We start from the raw sequence: 12,611 nt of genomic DNA on the forward strand, positions 1-12,611 counted from the left end.
GTGAAATAAATCAGGAGCAACACCCAGCCTTGACCTAGCTGAGAACGTCAGCAAGGCAAGAAGAAATGACATGGGGAGGTCCTTTGTCCCGGACGTGGCAACCCAGGATCCTGACTCTCTCCCTTGGCTTGAAGGTCCCATGAGCCCCACTGCTTTTCATGAAGATTGTATGTGAAACACCCAGGGTGGGGGTGCCCTCACACCTCAGGGCCTTTGCACCTATTATGTCTTCTGCCCTGTAGGAATGTGTTCCCCACATAGCCCAGATGGCCAGCTTACTGCATTCACATCTCTGCTCCCAGTCACCACCACATCAGTGTGGCTTCCCCGACCACCTCTTCTAGAATGATTCTCCCTGCACTACTTTCACTATAGCCCCTGGTCCCATGTTTCTTTTTAACACCTATCACCATATGACACATGTATTTGTTTATTTTCTTTCTTCAACTCCCTACTAAAATATGAGCTGTGTAAAGACAAAGAGTTTGACATTTTGTTCCTAATAGTGTCCCCAGTGCCTAAGAACAGAGTGCACACACACACACACACATACACACACACACATTTGCTATTGGTGAGCTATGATGCCTTTCTGATGCCATCTTGACTAGTCACAGCGAGGCTGGGTAACCTAGAACATTGGCAGACTGGCCTTTTTCCTACAGGATACTGAGCGTTAACTGAGAAACCAGTGTAAATTATGAGTTTAATGTTTTCAATCTTAATAGATAATTTTCCCTTATAATCAGCAGGGGCAGCTCTGAAAAAATTAAAAATAAATAAAAATAAAAAAATCAGTGTAGTTAATAAAGAGTTGCGCCATGTTCTCTTTGCATACAAGAGCTGCTGTGTGAAAGATCCTGCCTCAGGTGACCACTGAGTTCCTTCTCCTTTTGAGAGACCCTCCCGGCACGCAGTAAGTGCCAGCATATTCTCACGTCTTTGAATTTCATGATTTGGGCTGGGACTCGCTGGCCACATCATTGGTATAAAGTTCTCCAAGAACCCAGGGTGAGCATGCCACAGGGAGAAAACATTCTTGTCACTTTAAATACAAAGAACATATTTAAAGTAATTGCTAATGATTCAATATTTGCAATACATGTGTGGGCAGTTATGAAACTTTCTTTAACGCCTAGGCAGATCTAAATGCCTTATCAATTTGGAGGCGCTGTTTCCTTCGTGGTTAACAATTTAAGGTGTTTCGCTGTGATTTCTGACTTGAATGTTCCTTTATTAGAGGACATTGTCCCACTAACGTACATCTCCTCTGGAGGCTGGGCTAATCAGTCTTCAGTCTAAGAGCTTTCCTTCACTACTGCTAATTAAGGATTTTTCTATGATGAATACATAATTCTAAAAAAATATGATTTCCTGATACAAACTACATATGCTTGAAATAAAACTCCGAAGTCAAGTTGCACAGGCTTATCAAACAACTCTCTGAGCACAGAAATACAGAGTAAAAGTTAAAACACGTCTCTACAAAATTATAAACACTGAATATCAACAAATCAAATGACTTATTGAACTTACTTTGCAAAAATTCAGATAAAAATGCATTTATACTAATCAAATTCCAATTTCTGCACTATGTAGGCTACCTTTGTAATAATTACATAAGAACCCTTATAATATAGATCTTTTTTCTTCAATAAAAAATCAACTTTGGGATTATTCTGTAAAAGCAGAAGGAGAATTTGGAAAAATTAAGCCTTCTAAGACCTCCCAGATGAACTCTAGCCAGAGCCCCAGGAGGACTTAGTGATGCCCTCTCACGTTTGGAGGCTGGAGGGAGGGCGGGAGTCAGTTCCCCTTGAGTTCCTATGGAATCTTCAGTCTGTTCTGCTAGACTGATAGACCAAGCTTCTCAGACACCCAGACTGAAGGGGATAATGATCTAGCACCTCGGAGTGTAGACACACAGCCCTTCTCTCCAGGTTTACTGACAGCAGCTCCAGGGCCTCAAGTTCAGGCTCTCCTGCTTTTCTGCCCCTAAATATGAACTCAAAGAGACTGAAAAAGCAGAAGACCACGGGAAATCCTGCAAGGTTTCTGGCACCTTAGCGACTCACGGATGAAGCCATTGGGCCTTTCCAAAACTGTCATTTTTTGAGAAGACAAGCATGAGACATCCTCTGCCAAGGGGAGGAAAGGGACAGGGACAGATATGGATAATTGGGAAAGTTTGATAAATCTGTAATTTTCTGCCTCATAGGCATAAGATTCTTTTGGGGGTTTACTCACTACATGATACCTGTCACTAGGAAGTTTGTAGATTGCATCTCTGTTGAAAATCCTTTGTGTGTGTGTGTGTGTGTGTGTGTGTGTGTGCGCGCGTAGCTATATATGCAGAGAGCCACACGTCTTAGAATTTGGCCCCCCAGCCTCCTCTTCCCACCACAGAGCAACGTCTGTGGTGCCAATGAGCCCATCAGGCCATGCCTCTGCTTGGCACAACTGCCCTCCACGGGAGTCTGCCTCTTCCTTTTTTTTTTTTCTTATAGATATGTGTTCTTTTCAATAATTGAGATGAAATTGTGTAAACAGATTGGCGTTATGCATGTTTTTTCAGATGACATTATATAGTGAAAATATTCCCCATGTCATAAAGATTACTTGAAATATCATTTGCACAGCTCCAATATTTCATAACATGGATTCACCATTATTTATTTAATCCCTTACCTGTTCTTGAATGCTTGATTGGTTTTAACATTGCTCCATTTTCTTTGGATTTTTAAACAATGCCTTTTCCTGGGTGATGATAGCCATTGCAAAAGCTGGTTTCATAATTGTTGGATGTTTTTCATTCTTGGATCCTGGATATCAAATAAAATCTTTAGAGATAATATCTGAGCCTGCTATGGTTTACTGTCTTTTAAAACTTTACCCTTATTTGGGGATTAAATAATGTGTGTGTTCTATCACAGACACCTATTCTAAAATTGTCTATCAGTAAGATGGACTGCATTGCCTTTTCCTTTTCCATAGAGTATTGAATTTAATTGGGTTATAATTCCTGCTATCTAGTAGCTCACCAACAATGGAGCTGTCAGAGCTTACTCATATACTCCATGGGAAGTTTATGTGTCTGAGGCAAATGCTGGCAGGTGAAGCAGGCATTCCATGAAACCAGGCCTGGGTGGAAAGGAGGCACTCTTGTGTGCAGAGTCTGGTGCCGCTGGGCCCACACACCTGGGAGCACTCCCTGGCTGCCCACACCCTGTTCCTTTCAAGAATTTGGGTTGTGTTTTCTTCTTTCTTGACAATTAGTATAAGGGCAGTAGCTAAGAGTTTGGATTTATTTTTTTTTTGATGGAGTTTTGCTCTTGTTGCCCAGGCTGGATGGAGCATGATCTTGGCTCACTGCAACCTCCACCTCCTGGGTTCAAGCAATTCTCCTGCCTCAGCCTCCCGAGTAGCTGGGATAACAGGCATGTGCCACCACGCCTGGCTAATTTTGTATTTTTAGTGGAGACGAGGTTTCACTATGTTGGCCAGGATGGTCTCGAACTCCTGACTTCAGGTGATCCACCCACTTCGGCCTTCCAAAGTGCTCGGATTACAGGCATGAGCCACCATACCCGGCCAAAAGTTTGAATTTTGATTCAGTCATGACTTTGCCACTTAATCTGAGTCTCCAGGTAGGTCATGTCCCGCAATTTTCTCATCTGCAGGCTGGGAATAATGACAGGCTATATTCCAATAAGTTTTCATTGAAGGTTAAATAATATGACAGAGATCTGGCATATGTAAATCCTCAATAAGTGGCAGCCATTTTTGTTTTTATTGCTTTCGTTATTCATTGAGTTTCAGATACTGAAATTAACAATGCGTATTATCCACCTGTTCCTCTGCTGCTTGGATTCCAGACCAAATTTGCCACCTTTTTTGTAACTTCTAAGATTCACTTTGTACTCTTCTGTTTTTTTTTATTTACTCAATAAGTATTTATTGTGAATCTACTGTGTGCTAGTCACCAGTTTAATAATACTCTGTTCCCATCTCTTTGCCTAGTGCACATATATAAGGAATTCTATGAAACTATAACCATACTGACAGATTTCTTGTATAGTCCAGATGATGATCCCACCATTTTAAAAGTACACTTCAAAATGCTCAAAGAGTAAGCTTCAAATGTCTCACCACAGAAAATAAGTGACATTATGAATACGTAAATTGACTTGATTTAACATTCCACATCATGTACATATATCAGAACTTCACTTTGTACCCAATACATGTGTACAATGATGATTTTTCAATTAAAAATAATATTAATGAAAAAGTTGCATGACAGTGGAAAAAATGTTTTGAAGGATAGAGGTTTGCTTATGATCACATGATTCTGAGCAAATTAATCTGAAGCTTTTTTCACAATATAACTTTATTATGTAGAGTTGTTATAGAAATTAAACAACAATATAGAAATCAAAACAATTTTGTTAGTTCCTTTCTTTTACTCCTCAGATCAGTATGGTTAGGGTGTTTGCAAACTCTGTGTACATTGTGCTGTGGGTTAGCCACTTTAGAAACAGAGGGAGACAGTGAGGCCGGTGGAGCTTGGGAGAGCTAAATAGAGTCTGAGATGGAGAGATTGCATACACCAGTGTGTATTTGAAATAAAATGTAGTGAAAATTAATAAGCTTGAAATTACCTAGCTTAGGCTATTAAACAAAACATTTTAATAAAGAAAACTAAGTCATTTAGGTTTCCAGAGAATAGTAACTGTCACTAATAAAATTAATGTTTATTTAGGAAAAACTTGTATCAGTTTCTGCAATTGAATCAATCAACATCCAATGAGGAAACAGAAACCACATAGTAATTTGGAAAGGAAAATCAATATAAATAATATTAAATGTTATATGGGGTTAACAATAAAGGGGTACCTGAAGAAAATATTTGGGCTCTGGGAGAGTCCCCAAGGAAGAAACAAACTTGAAAAGGGGCCCCACTCCCCAAGACTGGGCCTCTGACTCATTGGAGGTGTGGTTGCAGCTCACCAGCTTGAGAGGAGGTTCTCTGGGTTGCCCCGGGCAGAAGCTGGTAGGAGGTGACATGGGGCTGGAACAGGCCAGCTGGGAGCTCCTTCTGGGGTGCAGGTGGGCACACAAGCACCACGTAAGGAGGGCACGCAGGAGCACCCTCCAGGGAACAGGCAGGCTGAGGATGAGGAAGGATGAATGTCAAAGCAAGGCAGCTTTGGGTCTAACTCTGAGCTCAGAACTGTGGCCAAGGTTTGTTTTCTGGGTCAGTTCTGGATGAATAGCTTCATGGGATCCTGCCACATATCAAATTTAGCTACCCAACCATCTGAAATGAAACAGTAGAGGAAAAACAGGATAATGAAAATTCTTATTTAGCAATGTATAAAGAACATGCAACTTAGCTCAGCATGTGTATCATGCTTTATTTGGGCCAGGGATCGCTAAGAATATTCATTTTTAAACTTATTTTTTTGGCAGAGAAATGTTTCTGGCTCAGCAAATATAATTACAATAAGGTTTGAATTCCTGTTTGCCAGGATTGGAAAACGATACAATTTCTAAAGCTCTAATCAGTTGTCTATCCATTTTATCTCGGGAACAGAGCTCTATTAGCTATTCTATTAGTTAGCTATTCTCACAAATATGCTGCATAACAAACCACCCCCAAACTCAATGGCTTATGGCAACAACCATTGATTTCTTGCTCGCACATCAGCAGGTTGCTTGGAGTTAAGCTGATTAAGTCAGGGCTGGGCTTGGCTCCAGGCTGCAGGTGGGTTTCAAGTCAGCTTCATGTAGCTGTTCCCGTGCCGTGCTGCTTAGCATGTGCTCTCCTTGGGGCAATGGCAGAAGCACAAGGGACAGGCATTTCATGAGCATTTCAAGCCCCTGCTTGGGTGAAGTCTGTTAATGCTCATTGGCCAACATCAATGGGGAGAGAAGTATGCTTCTGTCATGGAGGTTAAAGAGAATAGAGTGAATCTTTGATAGACCATAATCCAATCTCCCACAGCAAGGAGAGTATACAAACCACATCTTAAGTCTGGATCGGCCTGGGATTTTTCTGCCCCTTGACAGCAGCAGCTGCCTTGCCCTTTGCCCAAGGGAGTCCACTCTGCTGCTTCCTGAGTGTCCTCATTCCTGGTCACTGCACGATTGTCCTTAAATGGTGTTAGCTATTTGGACATGGGCTAAATGCTACTCCCCATGCATGTTTGCTCACCTGTTCCATTTCTGTGTCTAGGCAGGTTGGCTGAGCCTGTGGCTTCTCTCTAGAGCTTCCACTGCATCTTACTGAATTTCTTAGGAAGTAGTTGACACAATTGACTACACTGATTTCTGCAAGGTCCCCTAAATCATTTCAGAATGCATGGGGATTGACTCCCAAGAGACAAAAGGGAAGAACTTAATGCACAGTGCACTAAGCAGCAAAGTAGTTTTGCCTCCTTGAGCCTATTCAAGGTTCTCTGTCACACCTTGAATCAGCCAAGATCAAATTTTAGTGTTCGTCACTTGTAAATGTAGTAGACACAAAACCTGGAATTGTGTCTTTATTTGGAAATAGGGTCTTTGTAGATGTAATGAAGTTAAGATGAAGTCATATCGGATTAGGGTGGGCCCCAAATGAAATGATTGGTGTCCTTACAAGGAGAGGGAGATTTGGAGACACAGAAAGACAGAGAGACACGGAGAGGGTGGAAGGCCATGCAGTGATGAAGGGAGAGATTGGAGTGATGCAGCTGCGAGCCGAGAATTGCTGGCAACCACCTGAAGCCAGGAAGACGCAGGAAGGATTCCCCGCTGGAGCCTTCAGGGGGAGCATGGCCCTGCTGTCACCTGACTTCAGGCTTTGATCTTCTGGAATTGTGAGCCAATAAATTTCTGTTTACATGCCACCTAGTTTATGATAATATGTTGTGGCAGCTCTGGGAAAACATAACACAACACCTCCGATGTCTATTTTAGTCAGAATTCTTTGGTTGCAATTAGCAAATACTAAGAAAAAAAGTGGATTGATCTTAGGTCATTTGAAACTGGCTTTAATGTGTGAAGTTAGGAACATGGGTGCTGTTGGGACTCTCTTATCTTTCATTTATGATTCTCTCTTGTGCTGGCTTTATTCTCCCAGGTCAGCTTCTTCATAAGGCTGATGCCATAGCAGCTGAAGTGTTGAGGCTTTTTGATGAGAGAAAAAAGGCTTTTCTGTGTAATTCTAAGATTAAGTCCCAGGTAAGGGTTCTAGTTCGCCCCTGCTCATCTGGATGGACCACTGAGGTTTGGTGGACAGGCTGTATTGGTGGTCCACCTAGCATCAGTCCTCTGACTGTTGAACAGTGACAAAGGCCATGAAAGAGAAAGGGACAAGGAGTGTAACAAGAACAAGTGCTAACAGGATCATGGAAACTGTTCGGCCACTGCTGTTCATCCACCACCACACTGATGGACTGAAGCAAGAAACCAGAAATCAATGGAAAATATAACAAGAAAGGTTATTTAGAAATTGGTTTCAGAAGAGGGAGGTCATGTGGGTTGAATAGTGTCCCTCCAAAGCTCCTGTTCAGCTGGAAGCTCAGCTTGGGACCTTATTGAGAAATAGGGTTTTTGCCAGAAAAATCAAGTTAAGATGAGCTCATCCTGGATCAGTGTGGGCCCTCCTGCAATCACTCCTGTCTTCATAGGAAGAGACACAGAGATACAAAGGGAAAAGCATGATGGACCACAGCTCAGAGACTGCACTAGTGCAGCTGTAGGCCAAGGATTGCTGGGAAGCACCAGGAGAGAGGCAGGGAACAGAGCCACCCTCCGAACCTCCAGGAAGAAGCCAGCACTGCCAAAGCCTTGATTTTGGACTTCTGGCTCTAGAACTTGTGAGTTAATACATTTTTGTTGTCTGGGGCCTCCAGTTTGTGGTACTTTGGCGGCACCAGCATGCTAAAACAGATGTGGGACTCAATCCTACCTTAAGTACTATTGAACTGCAAAATGAAAGCTTTAGAAAACACAAGAGAGCTGAAATTATTTAATAAGAAGTGTAGTTATATGTATCACTAGAGGAAAACATCCTTTCTTTTCTAAAAGAAAAATTAGATTTCTTATTGAAGCAGGGAGAAGATTTGCCTACAATTCTCATTATGATTAAAGATACCAATTTATCATTGATAATACTGATTATAAAACAGAATTACATTAGGGGATGAGAGTGTGAATACCACCAGGACATTAAATAAAATATTTGAGGAATGAGGTAATTGTCCCAGACTTGTTGGATTCAATCAAGGGTTTTAAGGCTGCTCTATTCCATTTCCTTTTACCATAATATCATATATACACTACCATAGGGAGAGACGCAGCGTAGCTTACATAATGAAATGACTTTACAGCTAATTTGATTCTGCATTTGAAAACCAAACAATTCTCAACATTTATGCTTGTTCATCTTCAGCACAGTTGTTGCGTGACTAAGTTACTTATGAGGAGGTCCGGAGTTCATGTTTAGGACAAGTTCTACTAATTCTGGTTCATACAAAACTTTCCAACCTCTGAGCTTTGTTTGTTTGTTGTTTACTTTGTGTTTGTTTTATCTTTAAAAACTGTAACTTTTTTTTTTTTTTTTTTTTGAGACGGAGTCTCGCTCTGTCGCCCAGGCTGGACTGCGGACTGCAGTGGCGCAATCTCGGTTCACTGCAAGCTCCGCTTCCCGGGTTCATGCCATTCTCCTGCCTCAGCCTCCCGAGTAGCTGGGACTACAGGCGCCCGCCACCGCGCCCGGCTAATTTTTTGTATTTTTAGTAGAGACGGGGTTTCACCTTGTTAGCCAGGATGGTCTCGATCTCCTGACCTCATGATCCACTCGCCTCGGCCTCCCAAAGTGCTGGGATTACAGGCGTGAGCCACCGCGCCCGGCCAAAACTGTAACTTTTATACTATCTTTCATACTATCATGAAACAAGCAGAGCCTTGATTTACATTTTGCATTATGCATGATTAACTCAATCTACTTTTGATAGTCCCCACTTTGGGAAGGTGAGGGTGCATAGTCCATACGTCCCCACTTGCTCTTTCCCCTCATAATGGTGACTTTTATCTGTTAACCTGACTGGGCTACGGAATGCCCACACAGCTGGCCAAACACTCTTTCTGGGTGTGTCTGTGAGTGTGATTTGGAAGAGATGAGCATTTGAATTGGTGGACTCGGTAAAGAAGATCACCCTCACGAATGTGGGCAGATATCATCCGAACCACTGAGGGCCCAAGTAGAACAAAAAGGCGGAGAAAGGGGAATCCCTTGTTGGTATTTGGCCTGGGACATCTCTCTTCTCCTGCCCTCTGACAGCAGTGCTCTAATTCTCAGGCCTTTGGACTCAGATTTAATTGCACTGTGGGCTTTCCTGATTTTCCAGCTTTCAGTTGGCAGATTATGGAACTTCGCAGCCTCCAGAATCCCGTGAACTGATTCCTGTATATATACATATGTACACATACAAATATTTGTGTATTTATCTCTGGGACCCGATATACATCTATATCTCCTCTATTGGGTCCCTTTCTTTAGAGAACCCTAATACACTCCTATATTGATGGTCTGACATCTGTCACACATAAGAGGAAATGCTCTTTTGGGATAATTATTCATAATATACAAGTTAGAGAATCATTTATGTTTCTTAGATATTTTCATATGTGTAGAGCTGCTTTATCAATTTGCAGCCCTGGTGGGGAGCCCAGAGCAGAGCCCCGGGCTGGCAGAGCTGGGATCGGGGTACAGATGGGCTTGCAGGAGCCTGGCCACTGGCACCGCTGCTGGGTCTCAGCAGTACCATGCCCTGTTCCCTCAAAGCCACATTGTCTTTTGCAGAGGTTGCCTCCAAAGAAGGTATTTTCTTATGAAGTTTTATGCCTTTGTAAAAGTTGTAAAATATACATGATAGAATTTACCATTATTATTTATTTATTTATTTTGAGACAGAGTCTCTGTCGCCCAGGCTGGAGTGCAGTGGTGCAATCTCAGCTCACTGCAACCTCCACCTCCCGGGTTCACGCCATTCTCCTGCCTCAGCCTCCTGCGTAGCTGGGACTACAGCCACACGCCACCACACCCAGCTAATTTTTGTGTTTTTAGTAGAGACGGGGTTTCACCCTGTTGGCCAGGATGGTCTCCATCTCTTGACCTCGTGATCCACCCGCCTCGGCCTCCCAAAGTGCTGAGATTACAGGCGTGAGCCACCGCGCCTGGCCAGAAATAATTTGTTTCTTTATCACTGAGGACCATCTCAAGTGACAGGGCTCCAAGCTTTTGCTCATGTTCCGCTGCCTTGGAATCCAAGGGCAACTGCGGCCATGGTAGCCTATTTTCATCAAAGTCAAATGGCATCTTGTTGACAGAGGTGAGGGCCTGCAAAGTCCTACTACACTCAGGACAGTCAGTCCCCTGCTACAAAAAAATTATCAGGTACAAAATATCAATAATACTGAGCTAGAGAAACTGAGTTCTAAGTGAAATGGACAAACCTTTAATAGTAGTGACCTGGCCTGAAACTTTAATGTTTCTTTATTGTTTTAAACTTTCATTTGGTTGACTATAGGAGCAGCAAACTGTTTTGCCATTTATTTCTGATGCTTTAATTGTACAATGTTCCCCGAAATGTTTACACTTTAATTCTTGCCAAATTTGTTGTAGCCAACTTTAACCGTGGAATGACATATTTAGTCCCTCAACACTGTCACTTGAATGACACATGGCAATGGGTCAGCCAATTCTTGGAGCAGCACCTGGAGACCAGGGCATTTCCTGTTGCAAACAGTTTCCTACTGACCTTTGTGGGAAAGAAGAAAGAAAACCCAAGCCGGGCACGGTGGCTCACACCTGTAATCCCAGCACTTTGGGAGGCTGAGGTGGGCGGATCACCTGAGGTCAGGAGTTTGAGACCAGCCTGACCAACATGGTGAAACCCCGTCTCTATTAAAATACAAAAATTAACCGGGCGTAGTGGCAGGCGCTTGTAATCTCAGCTACTTGGGAGGCTGAGGCGGAAGAATCGCTTGAAACCAGGAGGCAGAGGTTGTGGTGAGCCGAGATCGCGCCATTGCACTCCAGCCTGGGCGACAAGAGCAAGACTCCATGTCAAAAAAAAAAAAAAAAAGAAAAGAAAAGAAAACCGAGGCTTGGATTTTTAAATCTTCAATTGTGAGTGAAATTTGCATCATTACTCTGTTATAGTTCCACTTACGATTTTTAGAATAAATAAAAACAACATAAAGTGTTTTGAGAAACATAAAAATATTACAGACATATACACAGATGCAGTGATGCAAATGTAAAGATGATAAAGTCCAATCGTCAGAAAAGTCGTAAGTGGAATTAAGGCAGGACACAAGCAAGATTCACTGGTCCCTGAACAGCAGGGAGCGATAGAGGTGTCTGAATACCTTTGGGAGTCCACATCCCCGGGGTGTGGGGGACAGGCAGGCCCTTCATCCCCCGGGCAGAGCTGAGCTTGTTCTTGTCACATTTAACCTCAGTCCTCTGATAAAGCCAGAACATACAATGTTTTTATCTGCCCATTCAGAATCATGTAAGTGCAGGTTTTTTTAAGTAATTATGAGGGTGAGTGAGACTTTCACTGTAATGTTTGGTAAGTAATGAGGTGATTCAGTTTTATGTCCATCTTGATTTGAGGAAGAGAGAATGGTGAGGGAAGCATTGGGACAGGTTCATCTGGAACCACAGACACTTAAATGTAGACAAGCCTTTAATGATGCCTGGTCCTCGCTTCCTCCCAAATGCAGGTATGTATTACATCTCTGTTGGCTGTTCCCCTAGAATCAGCTGTAGCTTTTCCAGTGGCCAGGAGCCCTGGTCCCCGTTACCGTTGCGAGGCTGTCTTGCATTATTGGGCACTTTGAATGCTTAAAACTGGGCTTCTGGAAAAAGAGTCAGATTCACCTGGATCTGGATCTGGCAGGTGAATGTCACAGTCTCTAACGACCTCCTAATTCCTGTCTTCTCTCTTTCCTTCCTTTTTTTTTTTTTTGAGACGGAGTCTCCCTCTGTCGCCCAGGCTGGAGTGCAGTGGCACGATCTTGGCTCACTGCAAGCTCTGCCTCCCGGGTTCATGCCATTCTCCTGCCTTAGCCTCCCGAGTAGCTGGGACTACAGGTGCCCGCCACCACGCTCGGCTAATTTTTTCATATTTTTAGTAGAGATGGGGTTTCACCATGTTAGCCAGGATGGTCTCCATCTCCTGACTTCGTGATCCACCCACCTCGGCCTCCCAAAGCGCTGGGATTACAGGCGTGAGCCACCACGCCCGGCCTGTCTTTCCTTCTTTTAATCTTTCTACACATGAAAAGGCGTCAGTAGCCCCCACCATCCTGTATGTCACCTGGGACACCCTCAGTCTGCCTTTGTTAATGTCAGAGCCAGGAACTCAGGGAAAAAACTATTTTCTGAGATACGTTTTTGTGCAGAGAGAAGAGACTTTCCATGTATATTGCCTTTCCTGTAATATTGTCTGTTCAGGTAGCTGTGTGCCATATCCAGGTAGCTGCATGCCCTCTTCCCTGTTTTAGCACTGGTTGATACTGAGTTTATGGTTAATTAGTAAATGTGTTAAAAA

Source organism: Homo sapiens, chromosome 9, assembly GCF_000001405.40.
Source record: "Homo sapiens chromosome 9, GRCh38.p14 Primary Assembly".
Taxonomy (NCBI): domain Eukaryota; kingdom Metazoa; phylum Chordata; class Mammalia; order Primates; family Hominidae; genus Homo; species Homo sapiens.